The 20,620-nt window shown below is 50.4% G+C and overlaps 3 annotated features.

Annotated features, from left to right (window-relative positions):
* Nucleotides 3,810-4,554: an enhancer, noted in NCBI's record as "H3K27ac-H3K4me1 hESC enhancer chr11:69270026-69270770 (GRCh37/hg19 assembly coordinates)". NCBI's record gives its function as "activates a minimal SCP1, AML or CMV promoter by ChIP-STARR-seq in primed H9 embryonic stem cells {active_cell/tissue: H9 hESC(primed)}" and the evidence as "EXISTENCE:reporter gene assay evidence [ECO:0000049][PMID:30033119]".
* Nucleotides 9,824-10,392: an enhancer, noted in NCBI's record as "NANOG hESC enhancer chr11:69276040-69276608 (GRCh37/hg19 assembly coordinates)". NCBI's record gives its function as "activates a minimal SCP1, AML or CMV promoter by ChIP-STARR-seq in primed H9 embryonic stem cells {active_cell/tissue: H9 hESC(primed)}" and the evidence as "EXISTENCE:reporter gene assay evidence [ECO:0000049][PMID:30033119]".
* Nucleotides 12,237-12,970: an enhancer, noted in NCBI's record as "H3K4me1 hESC enhancer chr11:69278453-69279186 (GRCh37/hg19 assembly coordinates)". NCBI's record gives its function as "activates a minimal SCP1, AML or CMV promoter by ChIP-STARR-seq in primed H9 embryonic stem cells {active_cell/tissue: H9 hESC(primed)}" and the evidence as "EXISTENCE:reporter gene assay evidence [ECO:0000049][PMID:30033119]".

Consider the following 20,620-nt stretch of genomic DNA (forward strand, 5'->3'; position numbering starts at 1 on the left):
GCAGATAGATGGAAGGATGAAAGGAGCAATGGATGGATGGATGGATGCATGGATGGATGGATGCACAGATGAATGGATGAATGGATGGAAGGAAGAAGAAATGGGTGGATGGATGGATGGATGGAGAGACAGATGGATAGTGATGGATGGATAGATAGAAGGAGGGAAGAAGAGAAAGATGAATGGATGGATGATTAGAAGGAGGGATTGATGGATGGATGATGGATGGATGAAAGGAAGAAAAGAGGGAAGATGGAAGGGAAAAAGGGAGGGAGGTTGAATGGAAGGAAAGAAGGAAGGAGAGATTAAGTTGGTTTTGTAGGACACTTCTTATCTTTTTTTTTTAGAAGAAAGAAAGAAACACGTTAAATAAAAGTCAGTTCTATAACCTTCTTGACTGTGGCAGCTCAGCCAGGAGTATGGAGAGCCTATTTCCCAGGCATACAAGATGGGGGGCAGCTTTACAGATAATAACCCTCTGGTGGCCCTGGGAGGAAGTCCACACACCTGCTCTCTGCCTCCACCACCCAGATGGTCTCCCCCAACCATAGTGCAGCCTCCCAGGCCCCATCTCTGCCCACCACAGGTCTGCCCAACAAAGTGCTGACCAGCCACGTCTGCAAGCCCCATCCCAGCCAGCCTGTCCCCTTGCAATGACCCCAACCATGACAATAGTTACAACCACCGCATGTGTGGCGTACTCCCCATGTACCAGACCCTGAACCCTCACACACGGGGTCTCATTTCCTCCTCTGAGGATCATTGTCCAGATGAGGCCAGTGAGGGCCAGTGAAGCCTTCGTGTGACCAGTGGATGCAGAACCAGGACTGGAACAGGTCAGTTTGGGTCCAGAGTCTCTGGACTCAAGAGGACGATGCAGAGGTGGGAAAGGAAAGAAGAAGGAAGAAGCAGGGAACCAAGGCAGGAAGTGGAGGCTGCGGCTCTGGGGAGCAGTGAGGGAGAGTGTGGGAGGGAGCAGCTTCCAGGGAAAGGGAACCATTTAAAAGGAGGTTTTGAAGATATTTTCTGCATCGTGGTCAGTATCACTCCTTCTTACCTAGTAAAATCTACATGAGAAACTGAGGCAGACATTACTAATTGCCTTCCCAAGGTTCCTTTCTCTACCAACAGAACACAGCCACTGTTCAGGGTGGCATTGTGACCAGCTAGAACATTCTATTTCCTAACCTCCCTTGCAGTAAGGGTTGGCCATCAGGCTCAGCTTTGGCCAGTAGAATACAGAAGTCGTGGGGCTTACAGGGAAAGGGTTGACAGCCCTCATCTAGTGCTGCTCCTTATTCCTTCCACGTTTTCCTTCCTGCAATGAAAGCTGAAGCAATGCCTGGAGCACAGCAGCCATTTTGCAACCATGAGGACTAAAGTCACATGCCAAGGATGGTAGAGTGGAGAGGTAGAAGGAACCTGGGCCAGTGATGGCATGGTGGAGCTGCCACACCAGCCCTGAACTGCCAGCTGTGGGTAGACAACAGCTACTGTGTTGTCACCACTGTGGCATGGCTTCCTGCTCCCTGCATCCAGATGTGGCCCCATGTGACACAGCCATAAGTAAAAAAACAGAGGCACACATTAAAATTCCTCTCAATAAACCAGGGTAAAGCCATTCCAAAGTCACAGAGGCCTTGATTTGTGGGGCGGGGTGGAGGGGGTGGTTCCTTCTCACCAGCAGCTGCCCTGACCGAAGGCTCCACAGGTAAGGCCAGAGGCAGGGATGCCTGCTGGGAATCCATGGACCAAATCCCTTTGCATTTATGTGGTTTCAGCCTTCCTCTCTGCCCCTAGACTTCACTTGCCACTAGACTCAGCAAGAATGCCTCTTTGGTTGGCCTTGGGCCAGGTTTGTATCCCCCGCTCTGGTCCATGTGCCCACAGGGTACTCTGTCCCTCTCAGCCTGGGACCCAGGAGCCAGCTCCACAGTCAGCCCTTGACTGGGTCCACGGGAGAGTGACCTCAGCAATGCCAGTGGGGTTGGCTGCCCCGGGAGACCCTGCAGGGAACTGCATATTAGTCAGGGTTCTCCAGAGAAACAGAACCCAGAGGGTGCGTGTGCGTGTGTGTGTGTGTGTGTGTGTGTGTGTGTGCGCGTGCGTGCGCACAGAGAGAGAGAGATTCAAGATAGCCAGGGAAGGCCCAGGGAAGAGCTGATGCCACAGCTTGAGGCTGAAGGCCATCTTTGGCAGAATTCTTTCCTAGCTGAGGGACCTCAGTCTATTTCTCTTAAGGCCTTCGGCTGTTTAGATGAGGCCCACTTACGCTATGGAGGGTCATCTACTTCACTCAAAATCGACTGATTCACATGTCAATCTCATCTGAAAAATACCTTCACAGCAGCTTGTAGAATAATGTTTGACCAAACACTGGGTACCGAGGACTAAGAAAGTTGACACATACAAGTAACCAACACAAGGCCTCCCAAGCTGTGTCTGCACCCAAGAGCCCTCCTGTGTTACCCACAGTCACAGAATTAGAGTCTAAGTTTCATATGACCCAGGAGGACCTCTAGTGCAGCCACCCACTTGAGGCACAAATGTCCTCTCCCTGGAATCTCCTAACCAGATGTGGGGACCTTCTCAGCTCTCCTTCCTGACTTTCCCAACAACGTTTCAGAAGCTACGCCTTCGGATGTACACACACACACACACACACACACAATGCACAAGCACACACATGCACACACATGAATGCACACAGGCACATGCACACATACACTTTCACATATGTGCACACACCTCTCTCAGACAACTCAGTCCTACCAGGGACAAAGGTCTCTGCAACCAGGATGAAGCAAGGGCTAATCCGCAGCAGCGAGAGCCACCTCTGCCCCAGGGACATTACTTATATGCAAATAATGCTGCCATTCCTGCACATTGGAGAGGTGGCAGGTGGTCCTGAGGTTCCTCCCCTAGCAGTGCGGGGGGACAAGACAGACCCATCCATGTATCTTCTCGGGCGAGGAAGCCAGCCTACACAGACCTCGTGAGCTGATGAGTCTCACCATCTTATTATTTATTCTTTATTATTAACAAAGCCAGACATGCACGCAGGACTCCCCGTGACCATTCCCGGGGAAGAAAGGACGAGCTGAGGTTCGGGACATATCTAGCCCCATATCCTCGATGATCAAGCCCGTAGGTTCCATGCAGGGAGAGAATCCCTCAGGCCCACCCCCACCTCTCCTTTGAGACAGCAGAGTTGAGAGAAAAGCAGGGATGCAGGCGTTCAATCCATCCACGCAGAGGCTGGGGCCAAAACCAATACTGGTCCTCTACTGCTGACCTCAGGCCCGTGTTACATGAACGGGGTGTTTGCACCGATGACCATGCCAGATGCTTGGGAATGCTGCTTGTCCTTTTGCGTTTCTCTGGCAGACTTGCAATGAAGCCAGGTCAGTCCCAAGACCTGCGTTCCAGTTCCAGCCCCCTTACCAGCCTTGGAAGCCAGCATGTATGGGGGTGGGGGGGGGAAGCACTCTGTGACTCAGTTTCCTATTCTGTAATATGGGAACAATAGTACCACCCACCATCCAGACTATGACACAGAACCATCCTAGGCCAGAATAAGTGATGTCTCTACATCCCCAAAGCTTGGAGTTCCCCAAACTTGTCTGATCATAAGAGTCTCCCAAGATGCTTGTGATAGATAGAGGTTCTCTCACCCCATCACGTGTGCATTTTTACAGAGCACCCTTCCCACAGTGATTTTTTTTTTTTTTGAGACAGAGTCTTGCTCTGTCACCCAGGCTGGAGTGCAGTGGCGTGATCTTGGCTCACTGCAATCTCCACCTCCCAGGTTCAAGCAGTTCTCACCCCAGCCTCCCAAGTAGCTGGGATTACAAGCATGCCCCACCACGCCCGGCTAATTTTTGTATTTTTAGTAGAGACAGGGTTGCATCGTGTTGGCCAGGCTGGTCTTGAACTCCTGACCTCAAGTGATCCACCCACCTCGGCCTCCCAAAGTGCTGGGATTACAGGCCTGAGCCACAGCGCCTGGCCTCCCCGCAGTGATTTATATGAGAAAGGAATTCTGGGAAATGCTTTTCTTACTTGACAATCTGGCAGAAGGAGACACAGCCTGACTTCCCAGCAAGCTTGGACCCAGTGCACGAGGAATCAATGTGTGAGGAATTTGAGAGGCAAGTAGTCTCGTGTGGGTTTAAGTTGTCGCCAGGGCTCCTCCGGTATAGGAAGCAGGTATCCTGGGTCCCATTCCCAGTAGACCCAGCAGAGTGTGGCTTGGTCCTTGGATCATCCTCTCTAACGTGGATAGAGTAGGACGTGTCAGCTCTGGGCCATTCCAAGGCTGTGGCTTGGGAGTCAGGCAGGCCTTTGATTACAGCCTAATTCTGTGACTTGGGGTGGGGTGGTCTTGGGCACATCCTGACCCTCTTACTGATCAAGGCGAGGCCCCCGGGCTAGCAGCATCCACATCACCAGGAGCTTGCTAGACACGCAGGCCCCCAGGCCCTACCCCAGACCTGCTGAGTCAGAATCCACATTTCAGCAAGATCTGAAGGGGATTCTTATGCACTCAGAAGCTTGAGAGCAGTGTGCTTACCTCTTTGAGTCTGATCTCTTCAGCTGCAAAGTGAGGAAAGACTATATCAATAACTATCCCTGCAGCTCCAAGTAACACCAAGCCTGTTTCAAACTAGCCTGAACAATCAGGAAACGTGCTGACTGCTGTAAGTGGCACTCTGGGGCCAGACAGGCATCAGGGTCAGTGTGGTTCAGAGTACTACGTCTGCAGCAGAAGCGTCCTGCCTCTGCCCTGCTGCACTGTGGCTGCAGCTCACCATGCTCACACCTGCGCAGGGCAATGTCCAGAGGGAAGATCCTCTAGGATCCTGTCTCTTGCATCCCACTGGCCTGCACCAATCCATGGTCAGTCATTGAACTGACTTAGGCCTGCATTCCTACACCAGGTGCTGGCTAAGGGACAGGATCACACTCAGGTCCAGCCATCAACTAAGAATATAGCTGCGTGCCACAGCATCTCATATCAATGGCATGACCCCAAATCAGGACAGTAGAGTAGAGGAGGGAAGCAGATGCTGGGTAGATGCCTGATGCTGGTCATTACAGGATGGCCCTATCTCATGGGGTGGTTTCCCACTTAATACAATCCCTGGAACACAGGAAATACTCAAATACCCAATCTCAATCGTTAAACAGCTCTGGCAAATTGGATTTTCCAAACATGAACACAGCTATATTTCTGTTCCCACGTGCTCTTCCACTCCTCATTAAGAGGTAGAGTCTATTTTCCCCTCCCTTGACACTGGGTGGGATTTTGTGACAGCTTGACAAATTCAATGTGCAGATGAGATGCTGCCTAACTTCCAAGGCTAGGTCGCAAACAGTGATGCAGCTTCCTCCTGGTTTTATCTGTCAGAAGCTTCACCTGTGGCACCCAGCTGCCATATTGTAAGGAAGCCCAGGCCACATGGGGAGGCTGTGTGCAGGCGTTCCAGCCAATGGCCCCAGCTGAATCTCAGCCAAAAGCCCACATCAACTGCCAGACGCATAAGTGAGTGCACTCGCTCAGCTGAAATCAGCTGATGTCAGCCCCCAGCCAAGGTCCCAGATATCATGGTCTAAGGCTGAGCAGCCCCCACTGTGCCCTGTCAGAATTCCTAACCCACAGAATCAATGAACATTAGAAAAAAAATGATTAATTTATGCCACTGTGGTAAGCAGATTAATGATCCTCCAATGTACCCATGTCTGTGTATATGTGACCTCCTATGGCAAAAAGGACTTTGCAGATGTGATTAAGCCAAGAATCTTGAGATGGGAAGATTATCCTGGATTAACCAAGTATGCATAATGTAATCGAAAGGGCCTTCATAAGAGGAAGGCAGCGGGAATACAGTTAGTAGTAGGAGATATGAGGACAGAAGCAGGTAGTCAGAGTGGTGGGAGGAAGGGGCCCCAGGCTAAGGAATGTAGGTGGCCTCTAAAAGCTGAAAAAGATATTTTTCCCTGAAGTCTTCAGAAGGAATGTGTAGCCCTGCCAACTCCTTGATTTTAAACTTCTGATGCCCAGAAGTGTAAGAGAATAAATGTGTGTTGTTTTAAGCCACCATGTTGGTGGTAATTTGTTACAAACTAATGTAGAAGGTTTTTGATAATGGATTCAATTTTTAAAAATAGATATAGAGCTCTTCGGATTTTCTGTTTTTTCTTGTGTCTGTTTTGGTAAGTTAAATTTTTTGAGGAATTTTTTTATTCTATCATTGTCACACATTTTTTGACATAATGTCATTCATAATATCATTATATTGCCTTTTCCTTTTTAATATCTGTAGGATCTGTAATAATGGCCCCTCTTTTCATTCTTGCCATTTGTGATTTGTGTTCTCTCTCTTTTTTCTTCTCTTTTTCTCTTGATCAATTTTGTTGATCTTTTCAAAGAACCAGCTTTTAGCTTTGTCAATTTTCTCCATTGTCTCTCTGCTTTGAATTTCATTGATGTCTTCTCTTACCTTTATTATTTCCTTTCCTTTGCTTACCTTGGGCTTATTTTGCTCTTCCTTTTTTAGCTTTGGATGGTGGGATCTTGGGTCATTGATTTTAGATCTTTCTTATTTTCAAATATAAGTATTTAAAGGTATGTTTCTCTTTAAGCAATACTTTAGCTACATCCTATATACTTTGGTATGTTCTTGTTATCATTCAGGATTTCAATACTTTTAAATTTATTGATATTTGCTTTATAAACCAGCATCCGACCTAACTTGATGGGTGAACCATGTGTACTTCAAAAGAATCTTTATTTCATAATATCCAAAAGCAGTTTCTATAAATATCAAGTCATATGCTGAGATGGTTATTATTATTTTTCAAATCCTTTATGTATTTACAGACTTTTTAATCTAGTTGTTCTATCAATTGATGAGAGAGGGAGAGTTGAATACTCCACTGTGATTGTAAAGTTATTTGTTTCTCCGTTTAATACTTTTCATCTTTGCTCATGCATTTGTGAGGTTCTACTAAAATTGCTGTGACTTCCTGATGAATTGTCTTTTTCATTATTATAAAATGTGATTTTTTATCTCAAAGATTACACTTTATCTCAAAGTTTATTTTCTCTATTATTAATACAGCCAGTTTGACTTTATTATGCTTATTACTTGCATGGCATAACTTTTTTTTTTTTTTTTTTTTTGAGACAGAGTCTTGCTCTGTCACCCAGGCTGGAGTGCAGTGGCACAATCTTGGCTCAGTGCAACCTCTGCCTCCTGGGTTCAGGTGATTCTCCCGCCTCAGCCTCCCAAGTAGCTGGGATTACAGATGTGTGCCACTATGCCTGGCTAATTTTTATATTTTTAGTAGAAACGGGGTTTCTCCATGTTGTCAAGGCTGGTCTCAAACTCCTGCCCTCAAATGATCCACCTGCCTTGGCCTCCCAAAGTGCTGAGATTACAGGCATGAGCCACTGTGCCCAGCCACATGGTATAACTTTTTCCATCCAGTTACTTTCAACCTGTATTTTTATATTTAAAGTGCATCTCTTTTGGCATCTGGTTGAGTCTTTTAATCAGATAACCACTTCCTTTCAATTAAAATATTCATGTTGTTAGTATTTAGTGTAATTATTGATATGGTTGGGTTTAGGTCTACCATGTTATAATTTTTCTTCAATTTGTCCCCTGTAGTTGTTATTCTTCCATTTCCCCCTTCCTGTCTTCTTTTGAATATTTGAATTTCTTTTTTTTAGTATTTCATATTGCAGTTAAAATTATTTCTTTTGGGTTATTTTTATATTTCTTATTTTTCTGCTGAGACATAATTTTTTTCATTCATTGTCAGTGTATTTTTCTTCACCTCATTGAGCAAAATTATAGTAGTTCTTGTAAACTCCTTGTCTGATAATTCCAACATATGGGTCATTAGAGGTTGGCATTTATTGTTAATGGGTCACATTTTATTGGCTCTTTGTATGTCAAGTAATTCTGAGCTACACCCTAGACGTTGTAAATATATATTGTGTTGCCAGTGGGCTTTGGCACTTTTTAGTGGAAGCACTCTTTCACTGGAGAGTGTTTGACCATTTTGTTTCAGCAGCGGTTCACCTGGTTAGACTTACACTGTAAGCTCTGCCTTACCATCTGTGTATGGTGTTGAATTTTTAGTTCAATTATTTAAGCCTTTTCAGCAGTGCTGTTGAGACTGTCCTATACATGCATGGTTCTGGGCCAGCCTGAGACGTGTGTGGTGGGCGTATGCAGAATTAGGAGACCCCTCATCTGTCTCCCTTCTGAGCCCTCCCCTTCACTCTCCAGTGACAGCTGTGGCTGCCTGGGCTAATTTCCCTGGTTCCTCCAGCCAGAAAGATGGTGGGGTTTCTCTTAGCATCTTTGCCCCTTGTCCCTTGCCACATTGCTCTGAGACTGCATCCCACTCCAGAGGCAAAGTCGTAAGCAATGAAGAACTCACTTCCAGACCATCAGCACACCAAGTTCTGACTCCCTTCAACAACTTTCCTGCTTTTGTTTACTTTTCAGAATCCTTGGGTAGTTTTTAAGTTTTGTCCAAAGTTCACACTTGTTATCAGTGGGAGAGCTGGTCTATAGAGGAGTCCATCTATTGTACCAGAAGCCAACACCCTAGGCAAAGGGTTGGCAGTGCTGGCTGACATCTTGCTGCTTGTGATGAAAGTAAGGGACAGAGACAAGCCAAAGAAGGAACACTCAATGTCAAGAAGCCAAGACTTGCTGGGTTTGAAAATCAAACTGTTTCTTATTCCTAACTTCTTCAAAATTCAGATTAAGAAAAGGCTTCACAGCAAAGATATTCACACTGAAATTATAAGAGCCTTTGTTAAGCTCTCAGAAAGACCTAAATTGGTGCCACAGTGTACTGTCTAGCCAACAGAAGTCCCTCTAAGGACCTGAAGTGCATGCCTCACAGGTCCTCTCCATGAAATAAAAGCCTCTTCATAAATCTTAAGAGCAATTTCCCACAGCATTCTCACAGGAAGCCCAAAGTAGAGAAGAATTTATCTTGAAGAGATGTGTGGCTCAAGCTCTTGTCTAGCAGAATGGATTATAAATTGATGCCTTAAAAACCACAAAGTTGTGTTTTTAAAGAAGTGTATCAGCTTGGACTAAAAGAGACACAGACAGCACAAAATACAAAGAGATCTTTGGATCCCCAAAACTTCTACGTCAGGAAGCAGGCTGAGAAATGACTCAATTGCAAACACAGGCTATGTTTTAGGGAAAAGGGAGGCTGATTCAGAGGGTGGAGCAAGAGCCTGGAAGACAGAGCCAAAAGCCACAGTGACTCACTCTCAGGTAGTAGGACTGAGCCCCAAACAGGGAACTGGCAACACATGCCCAGCTGGATTTCAGAATTGCTATGGACCAATTACATCTGTGTGCTCATTATATTTACACATTCTGAATTGGAGTGTCTATGGTGGCTCTCCTCTACCTGGCTCACCACTGTATTTGGGTGAGATGGGCAAGAAACCACAACTTAAGACCATCATTCACCTGGAGCTGATGGAGAGGATGCTTTCCTGGACTTTGAGCCTGATGCTGTGATGGGATGAGAGATTGGGGAAGTGCAATGTAGATAAAAGGAAAAGTCTATTTTGCATGCAGTAAGAATGTAAATGATGGAGTCCAGAGGGAAGCCTGTATTGTATTTTCCAAAAATGGCCAGAACAATATATCCAGGCCCATGTGCTCTTCCAGAACCCTGCCACTCCCCATCAACAGGCAGGGTCTATTTCCTCTCTCCATGAACCTGGGCAGGATTTTGTGACTGTCTTGAATAGGCTGTGGCAGAAGTGGAGCTATGACTTTCAAGTCATCAAAAATGATGCAGCTTCCATCTCAATCTGTCTCCCTCTCCCACTCTCACGCCCCACGCCCATCTCTTAATTCTCACCCTTCAAATCTAGCCACCATGTTGTGAGGAAGCCCAACCCACATGAAAAGGCCACATGTAGGTTTTCTAGCCAACAGCTCCAGCTGAGGTCTCAGCCAAGAGCCAGCATCAACTGCCAGGCATGTGAGGGAGCCTCCCCTGGTGTGCTCCCATTTCTTGAGCCACAGAATCTGTGAGCATAACAAAGGGTGGTTTATGCCACTAAGTTTGGGGTGTTTTGTTATGCAACCAGAGTAAATGGAACAATGTATTTGCAGCAGATTGCCAGAGTCCCAGAGGTGCACACACCCCCCAGGTCACGATTCCCCCACTGGAAAAGGGAATGGGTCCTCAGGGTAAGAAGCCTGGATAGCCACAGGAGAAGGCTGATTCCAGCCCGGAGTGGGAGATGGAAACCTCGCCCTGAGCCGGCCCAGCCCTCCCCAGGCCATCCAAAGGGAGTGACTGTTTTCAGGGGAACAAACCTCACCCACTGTTCTTCTCCCTTGTAGCAACTGGAGTCTGGAAGTACAGAGAAGGAGAAAAGCCCAGCGCATTTCTGAAAAGGGGAAGGAGCATGGCCCTGCAGCTTTCTCTAGATCCTGGTTCTTCAGCATGGATGGAAAAACATCTCATCCAATCAAAATGCAAGCCTTGGCTCCATTCTATGGTGTCTGGCATTTTTCTTCTTCCATTCTCTTCACCCCTGTTTCATTATTTCAGTGTTGTCTGAACCCTTGCTGTTCCCAGTGTGGTTCTCCAACCAGCAACAGTGGCATTGCCTGGGGAGCTGGTTTGAGAGGTAGGATCTGAGGCTAGCTCCAAGTCTGCAGAGTATGAATCTGCAGGATTCCCGGGCACAGAGCTTGAGAAAAGCAGCTCTATGCAGACTCACTGGTGAGTCCAGCTGGCTGGGAGGGCAGAGGGACGCTCAGCCCAGGGGAGGCCAGAGCATGGATAACCCGCACAGTGACAGCATGGCTGCTGTCGATGGGAACGGCACCAGCTCTACACCCACTGGAGGCTGGGGACCATCTGCAGACACTGATGCTGAGGGGCAGCACCTGGCCCAGGGATAGCAGAGAAGGGTCTGTCTCATGTGCAAACCTGGTTGCCGGGTGTTGGCCAGGGTTGCTGGGCTGAGGATGATTTGGGAGGGAGAGTCTAGACGCTGGAGGAAAGAACTCTGTCATCAATTAGCTGTGTCTGCCGGCGCATGAGAGGGGAGTGGCGCCTTGTGGGTGTTATTTGCTCTCCTTGCCTAGAATGTGCAGAATTGCTTTTGTGCCATTTAAACTTTCTTTCCTCCCCTCCTTCCTGCTAGAAGATTTTCCAAGAGACGTTGCCATTTGTGAGCCCATCACTGCACGTGCCAGTCACCCATCAACCTTCCCTGGGTTCATGTGGACAGGACGAACGTGGGACCCGTAGTGTCTGGCCTGGACCCGGCCCCAGACATCCATGGCCACACCAGTTGCTCAAGAGCCAAAGAATCTTCCAAGCCAGCAGTGTGGGGCCCCAGCCCGTGCGATTCACTGCTGTGCTCATTCCTGACAGCATGCTTTCCGCAGCCTCTGCTGTATGGTCCAGCAGCAAGGTACCCAGGTCTCGATATGTCTGGTTCCAGTTTCTTTTCTGAAAACCAAAACAGCTGTGTGTCTTGGATCTGAGGACACTGCACAATTCCTCTTATCCCCAAATACCTGCTTCCCCATGGGACATCCCAGTCCCTCAGAAGGGGCTGCTGAATAGCTTGCAGAACCCCTTAGCTCAGACCTTCTCCCCCACCCGAAAGCCGGGCAAGGAAAGCTGTTCCCATTTACAGATGAGGAAATTGAGGTTCTGAGAGGCGAGGGGAGCTGTAGATCACATGAGCACCCAGAGGCAAAGCTGGGATGGACGAGTGGGGGAAGCCATGGCCCCGTGTCCTGCACATGGGCTGAGTGCCCCATGGGGCACCTCTCTGAGTTCACCCGCACCGAATGCCAGCCGGTGGGGCTGGGCACAGGCACCGTGGCTGGTGGGAAACCTCCCCAGTTCCTTCTAAGGAGCATGCTGGACCCACACCCTCCCACAGAAGCTTTTCTGGAAACAAGCCTGATGACCTCAGCACATTTTTTCCAAACACACCCTTCCTCCCTCTCCCAAAATCTCAGTGACTTTGGACCATTTCCCTAAGGATTGGCTAAGGCAGGGCTGAGGGCCTTCTCAGGGGACTCCCTCCTTGAGCAGCCCTGCAGCCCCCATCCCACCCCAGCCACCGTCCTGGCCTGCTTAGCTGGGATCTTCAACAGAAAAACCACAAATAATTGAGCTGTTTAGGAGAACATCAGTCTGGGTTTCCATGGCAACAACCTCTGGAGCCAGCTGCCCCGACAGCTAACAGCTCAGGGCCAGGCCAGCCTGCCTCCAGTTCAGTGGCGGACCCGGGTCCACGCTGGCTTCTGGGGTTCCAGACTAGGAGCCTGGTCCTCCACAACAGAGGTCAGGCTGGGCACCAGGAGGGGAAGCCTAGAGGGCTGAAGCCAGAAACCCCCAGAGCCATCCCCCCGCCCCAAATCATCACACACAGGCCAGCTGCTGGGGGCCGGCACAGCTTCAAGGCTTCACTTCTTCCCTTCTGGCCTCAGCCTCACCCTCCTGCAGGGCCAGTCCCACTCCCCCCAGCAGGGCAGGTGGGGAAACAGAGGCCCCGCAGGGATCTGTGGCTGGCCCCGGCACACAGCAGGCGCCTGGTTCCCGAGACCATTCTGCAATTTGTCTCAGCCTGTGGCTATTCCCACTCCTGGAGTACAGACAACCCCAGGGGCCTCTGCCTGCCCAGCCTCTAAGGAGCAGAGAGTCTTCTGCCCCTGCAGAATCCTAAGGGTAGCAGAGGCTGCGCTGGTTCCCTGGGCTTTATCTGCCCTTTCTTGTTCTCTCCCCATAAAAAGCCTACTCTCTTTACCCATTTTGTTTATGAGAAAAGGAAGGCACGGAGAGGGCAAGGAAGTCACCCGGAGTCACACAGCTCCTAAGCAGCAGGGCCCGGGTGGAGCCAGGACAGTTCATAACCTGTGCCATCTGGGAGCATCATCAATCCCACCACACCTGGGGTTGCCAGGCTGCCCACAGTCCCCCACCCAGCATAGAACCGACTTTTGAGGGACACAGCCTCTTGGAGACTCTGAAGCCGCTCAGCAGACAACTCCCTGGTGCCCCACAGGGCTCATGCCCTGTGCCTGGGACCCCACCCGGGGGGTACAGAGAGAAATAAGAGTGGGCTGCTACCAACCTGAACCTTGCCATTGGGTGGAAGGGAGAGTTTTGTGGACCAACTGCCACTAAGCCATGAAACAACATAGGTGTGGCTCTACCTGGCAGCAAGTCTCACCAGGAAAGGTTTCCGAAAGAGGGAGGACTGGGGAGAGGGCAGGGTGAAGTCCTCCATGTGATGGGACCAGGAGCCCACAGACCACCGGGAGGCCCAGCCAGGGGCTGTGGGAGATGGAGCTGTGCTGGAGCCACTGCTGAGTGGGTGATGGGTGGGGCCGGAGCAGCGCCGTATGCAAAGAGAGAGGAGCTAACAACTCTGCAACCAAAGAGCAACTAGAGAAAAGAAGCCTGTCTTTTATTTGTGGATTTGTGACTTTACGTACCTACTTTGTCACAAAAAGAAGATTCTAGGAGGCTTACAAAATTACAAAAATGCACACAATACAATGTGATTTTTAGTAGGTGAGGAAAACATAAGATGAAGCAGAAGTCAAAATATATGCCCTAAGTCCTCAATGTGTACTGTGTGATGTAGTAGTAAAATTGACTCTGAGTTCCCCGGCAGCCAATGTGAAAAGGAAAACACACCCTGCCTTTGAATTTACAAGGAGCATGGGATAAAACTAACAAGCTGCTGGGAGACACTGGGCTACAGCTACTTCTGAAAAAGAAGAGGAACTTCTTATCAGGATCATGTTGACAGTGTCAGCATGAATAGCAACTGGACAGTGTCCCAGCACACACACAGGGATGCCTCTGGCCCATTTTAATCATAGCATCCCTGGGGACAAGAGGTTGGCTCAGGCCCCCTGCAAGGGATAAGCTGAGGTAGAGGGGCCTGCAGCTGTCTGGTGGCTGCGCCTGAAGAGGCTTGAGCACAGCTTCGAGGGTGAGGCATAGTGGAATCCAAACCTTGCAACTCCCATGGGGATGGGGACTTTGCAGAATCCCACAAGATTCTGCAAAGTCCCCGTCCCCCGCTCCTGCCCTCCTTCCAGTTGGAACTAAGTTACAGAAGCACCCACTTGGAGCCTGGTGCTCAGACTTGGCTGCAAGCTGCAATCACCTGGGAGTTTACAAAGTTACTGGGCGCTGGGTTCCACCCCCAGTTCTGACCTAATCTGTCCGGGGTGCGGTCTGGGCATGAAAAGTTTTTCAGGCTCTCCAGGTGATTCTCGTGTGCAGCCAAGTTAGAGAACACTGACTCCCGGGGAGGTGGATTACCTGTCCTCCCGGCAAAGCGCAGGACTCGCAGTTTGGCAAGCTTCCAGCAGCAGCGAGTTCGGGTGGCTCCGTGGGGAGCCTTACCCCAAGGCGACAGCTGGGTGGAGGGTGCCCCCCAACAAGCCGTGGGGCTGAAGGGAAGCCACCCACCTCAGAGCAGGGGTTCACCATCAGCCATGGGGGTCCTCAAAAAATAATGTGGGTGGGCTCTTCTTCTAAGCGCCAGTTATATAAGTGATCTGGACCTGTAATTTTATTCCTTAGATAAGCTTTTCCCCAAGATTGTGTTCTGCATGGCGCTCATTTCATGATGGTGTGAGTCAGTGGCACGCCAGAAGATATGCCATGGCAAAGAGGCTGTGGAGCCCGTGGCAGCCAACATTAAGCAGAGATTTTTCACAGCCAAAGATGCTGACTCAGCTCTCGTGCCCGGTTCCCCAAACTCTGGGCCATGAAACCCTATTTTCCAGATCTAGTGTTTTTCAGGAGCTGGTTTCATGGCACTGTGTTCTACAGCCTATTCATTGAGAAAGGCTGCTGTAATAATTTCAGCCAAACCTGATTATTAAAAAAAAAAAAATCATTAATTAAGGAGCTCTAGGGGCCAACAGAAGCAGAACACCAAGCTTTGGATACAGAGGCTTCCTGAAGGAACCTTGGAGATAAAGTAGCTGAAACATGTACCCGCAGGTAACCCAATGAGTCGAATCAGACTTGTTAGCGCTGTGTTGGCTAAATGTTGAAAGAGGTTTACTAAAAATGACAATTCACGTTTTGGAACAATTGAATCTATGCCATTCTTTCTGGCAGTAGTCCAATCCTAGGTCCAATCACCTGTTTAAGGAGATTTTCAGCTGGTGACAAAATAATTCCATTAATAAGACTTAATATTTTTAATATAAGGAAAAAAATACTATAAATCAACAGAAAAGGACAAAGGACAAGAAAAAAAAACAATGGAAAAACTAAGAAATGCAGGCAGCCAGCAGAGGCCTGGTGAATAGGCTGGGTTATGCCACAGTAAAAAGCATCCTCCCCAAAGCTGAGTGACTTAAACCACAATGTCTGTTTTTTGCTCACGCTCCGTGGCAAGTGAGAGTCCCAGGCCTTTCTTCCCATCAGTCTAGAGCAGAGGCTTTCGGAGGCTCAATCTCAGCCTGGGCTCTAAGATCTCAGGAGGACCAGGGACAGTGGAAGGAGTGAACATTTACTGGCTCTTAAAGTTCCATCCAGAAGATACACACACTGCTTTCACTTGCACCCCCTTGGTCAAAAAAGTCCCGTGACCACACCCACTCTCAGAGCTGGTGAGGAGTGCAATCTTACCTGAGCCCTGGAGGAGAAACCAAATTCAGTGGGAACAAAGACGACATCAGAACAACCAGGAGACACTGTGCAATTGTTTGCCAAAGTTGACAAAAGCTAAAGCAAAAGTGAATGGAACCTTGCCTTTAGGCAGTTTATCTTTTTAGCCTTTTGGTGGAGAGAAGGGAAGAGAGAGGGCTGGGGACCTGGGGAGGAGTGGGGACATCCAGCTCAGTGCCAGGGAAAGTGATGTCAGGCACAGGTTAGGGAAGGGCAGGGCAGAACACCTCTCGCTGGCTCTGCTGGAAGGTCACTCATGCACAGTGGTTCTCATTAGGATTAGGATGCAAGCACCTTAGAAGCACCCTTTGCCTTGCGGATGCCTGTGGCTAATCCTCACGCAGAGAGAAAGGCCGAGGGAAGGTCAGGACAAACAGCATATCCTCATCTTCCCCCTGGGGTTTTCCAGGACCGGATGATAGGACAATAGTCAATAACAGGAGACCAAGAAGCAAAGACCACCTATGCCACGGAAGAAACTTGCAATGTATGAATAAGGAAAGTGGCCATTGCAGGAATTATCCAGCCCAGGCGTCAAGGTGTCTAGGAAGACATGAGACCTACGTGAGTAGGCGGTGCGGTGGGGTTAGGGAGTGTGGCTGTGGTTTATGAAAATGAGCTTCTGATCAGAGGGGCCTTATCTAGAGAGTCAGCAAAGCAAGGTGAGTTAGAGGCCAGGGTCAGAGCCGCCCTTCAGGGAGGCCCCGAGGAGTCTCAGAGGCTGGGCCCTGGAGCCCAGGTGGGCACATTGCCAGGACCCAGGCGGACAGACACTGGGATGTGTACATTTCAGGGGAGCTGGTCTCAGCTTCTAGACCTGAAGAAAGCCGTCAGCCCTGACCTCACCACCCAGATTCTCATTCTGCCCTGGTACTAGAACATTGACCCAAACACAGACAGAAGAGAGGAGAGAGGGCACTGGGAAGAAGCAGCTAGAGGTGGGAAGGATGGGGGGAAGGTGCTGCCAAGAAAATGAGGCGTTTCTGGAAGGTGGTGGTCTTCATGTCAAAGCCAGCAGAGCCAAGTACAAATTGGGCAAAAGACCCACCTGGGTGTCCTCTGCAAGACAGGGCTCCGGGAGTAGCCAGGACAAAGGGCACAGAATTCCTTACAGCAAGAGCAGTTTCACTGATTTACTAATAGGTCATATTTAGCGAGCATTGGCCCGCACTGGTCATAGGCCGTGCACTGAGCTAGGTATTGGGGAAGTGGTTTGTCCACTCGTTCATTCATTTATTCATTCATTCCATGGGTTTCTTGCGCATCCACTGTGGGCCAGGCGCTGTGCTAGGTGCTTGGAATGAGGCGGTGAACTGAGTAGATACAGTGTCTGCCGCAGACTCCATTCTCATAGAGGAGACAGACAGGAAGTGCGTAAACCTGTAATAGGATAGAAAAATGGGGTACAAGGTGACAGGGTGGTCACGGAGTCATAGCGGTTAGTGTTTCCTAAGCACAAACTCAGTACCTTGAATGTGTCAAAGCCATTTTCATCCTCACCGCAGGAGAAAGTTCTGTTATTTCCCCCATTCCACAGAGGAGGAAGCTAAGTCACAGAGAGCCAAGGTGACCTGCCCAGGGTCCCACAGCTCATAAGGGGTAGCCTGGGAAGTTGAAGCCAGGCAGACCAGCTGCAGAAAACCCACAGGAACCTCAGTGCAAGGTGGTTTTATTGGGGCTGAGGCCTCAAGCAGGGGAATGTGGCCTCCTGAGACACTCTGGGCGGCCAGGGCCTGCCTGAGGTGGGACCAAGCATGGTGGAGTGGCTGGAGCCCGGTGGGGAAGGGAAGGAGGGAGAAGGCCTTGGCAGGAGCAGACATGAAAAGCAGGTTGATTTTATTCTACTTGAAACGGGATGCCATTGATGCCGCCTCGCTGTGGTGGAAGCGGACACGGGGCGGCCGGAGCCAGGCGTTCTGGGGTCAAGGCCACAGTGTATTTTAAATGGTCGGAGATGGGTGTACAGAGCAGGTTTCTGGGCCCACTTCCAGAGATTCTATCGTTGCAGGTCTGGGCAGGGGCTCCGGGGCCGCCTTTGAAACTCTCTCCAATGCACACACACCCACTGTGAGCCTCTGGACGCACTCCTGCCCCCAGGAAACTGAAACTCCCTGTGGATACCAGGGCCCTCCTCCCAGAGGAAGAACAGTTGAGCTGCTCCCTGATGGAAGAAAGACAGTTCCAGAACACGTGACGGTGAGGACAAGAATTTCAAGCCAGGGGGAAGACATGAAGGAAGGACCGGACACCTGGAGGTGGAAATCGCAGACAAGGGCTGAGCTGGAGGGGGCTTTGGGGTGACTGGATCACAGAGGGTAGAAAGGGGTGAAGCAAGCCTGGGTCATAAGTTGGGGCTCCTTCAAAGCAGCCACAGACCCAGGGGGAGAGGCTGTGGGCACAGCTAAGCCCCTCGTTTGGTTGGTGAACTCTGACCCTCCTGAGGCAATCCTAGTAATCATAGCAGCAATACGCATTGCATTTTCGGGGTGGGCCAGGCCGGGCACTACCCACATTCCTAGCAGTGATTGTATTTGATCTGTTTGGTTTTGTCTGAGACAAGGTCTTGTGCTGTCGCCCAGGTTGGAGTGCAGTGGCACAATCACGACTCTCTGAACCTCAACCTCCCAAGCCCAAGCAATCTTCTAGCCTCAGCTTTCCAAGTGACTGGGACCCCAGGTGTGTGCCACCATGCCCAGCTCATTTCTTTATTTTTTTGTAGAGATGAGGTTTCACTGTGTTCTCCAGGCTGGTTTCAAATTCCTGGGCTCAAGTGATCCTCCTGCCTCAGCCTCCCGAAGTGCTGGGATTATGGGTGTGAGCCACCGTGCTGGGCCTCATTTGATCCTTTTAACAGCTCTGTAAGCAGATGCAATGATCACCTCCAATCTATTGGTGGAATAACTGGGGCTCGAGTCAGACCACATGAGCCATCATTAGCAGAGGCTAGGTCTCTTTGGGGACCAAGCCTTCAGATAATAAAAATAGCCGTACGGACAGTAACACAAACCCACCTCACTTATCCAAATTCTGAAATCCAAAAACCTCTGAATCCCAGAATTTTCTCATAACTTACTTGGCATCAAAACCTGACCTGGAATTTTTGGCAACAGAAAAAGTTCCACCAGAACAAATCTTCACTTGTGTTCTTTAGGGTGAACAGCCATCTGTTTCGTGGATTCGAATACGGGACACAGCCCAGCCGCACTGGGAGGGTTGCAATAATAGATGATATTCTCACCCAATTCCCTTTCTAAAATCCACAAAAAGGCCCAGTCTTTTGGCAGAAGGGTGGCCTTTGGCCCTTCTGCAAAGATCCTGCTGTCAGTTGGAAGGAGGTCAGGAGTCCACATTTCTAGTTCCCGTCCTGCCACTCCTGGTTTCTCTCTGTGGCAGAATGGAAGCGGCTCCTGAGTGAGGCTGCCGGGCAGGTGAATAAGAAGCTCCCTGAATGAAGCCCCCTGCACGAAGGGAAGCTGTCGGCCACCCTGTTTCTGGGACTGATGGCCCTTGAGGAAGGGTTGGTCTTATTGCCCCGTGGGAAAGAGATTTGGGTCCAGGAGACCTGGGTCCTCGTGGTGGAGCTCCCTTCTATAGGTGGAATAATTGGGGCTCATCGTGGCCTCATTTTTCTCTTTGCAAAGCATGAGGACTGGGAGCAGAGATCAGCAGTCCCCACGACTGGGGCCGCCTGGGACGCGCTAAGCCGGACACAAGGCATTTTCTCAGACCCAGCCCCCCCAGACCCCCCAGGCCCCCAGGTCCTAGGACGAGCTCTGCACACCCCGTGCTTTCATTGACGGGTGGTCAGGCCCAGCGTCCTCGCTTTCCATGACTAGTCCTGCTTTTCGGGGTGGAGAGCAGGGGCCTTCCCGGAGCCTCGATTCCCACGGGTGGGGGCCTGGGAGGGGGCCGTGGTGGGCGCTGAGCAGGCCCAGGGAGGCCGCGCACCCCCGGCCCCCTCGCCGCCCGTCGTCCAGGCGGCCCCGGAGCCGGCTGCGGGCAGCAAGGGCCGCGGGGCCCCGCGCTCAATGTCTGCCCCACTCAAACCCCAGGGTAGGGAAGGATTTCCATGGGGCTTACGGTGATTTATAATGGGAAACCTCCGCTTTCCTCACACATTGTTCTCCCTGACAGAGGAAAGAAAGAGGGCACTAAATCTCCTCTCATCATAGTAATGATGAAGCCCGCGGCGTCCCGGCCCCATCCCAATGCCCTCGACGACAACAAAGTGCTCTATTGTGATCTATCACATTTTTCTCAAAAAACCTTCAACCGCGCACAAGGCCAGCGCCATATCCTGCACTGGCCCTCCCTCATTGTCCTCGCCGAGGGAAACGGAATGTGTCAGTCTGAGTAATGCGCCTTCAATGCTTCTCAGGAGCCGCTGGCTCGGCCGGGATAAAGCAGCCCCCACGCTTTCTCAGGCCCCGGCCCGGGATGAAAGCTGCCCGCGCCGCCGGGCAGCCACCGCGCCACCTGGTCCACGGGCCGGGGCCAGTTCGGCCGGCAGGGCTGGTGGCCGGCCCCTTCCCTGCTCTCACCCCCAATCGTAGGCCCGGGAGGGTGAGAATGGGGGCAGGGGGGACTAGGAGAGGGGAAGCAGAGGGTTACAGGGGCAACAGGGAGCCGGCCTTCAGGAGCTGGAGGGGAAAATGAGGGACTCAAGAGCTGGGAGGAAGCAGGTATGGGGGAATGAGCCTGGCCACAATCCTGGGGCGACACTGCCTTGCTCTGCCCTGCCCCACACAGCCCCAGCCCCAGCCCCAGCCCCTGCCCTGCGGGTGACCAAGAGGCTGCAACTCCCACCACAGTCTGAATTACAAAGCCCTAAACACACCCTTCCCATGGCTTCCATGTGCATGGCTATCAAAATCAAACC

This window comes from Homo sapiens, chromosome 11 (genome assembly GCF_000001405.40).
Source record: "Homo sapiens chromosome 11, GRCh38.p14 Primary Assembly".
NCBI classification, from domain to species: Eukaryota; Metazoa; Chordata; class Mammalia; order Primates; family Hominidae; genus Homo; species Homo sapiens.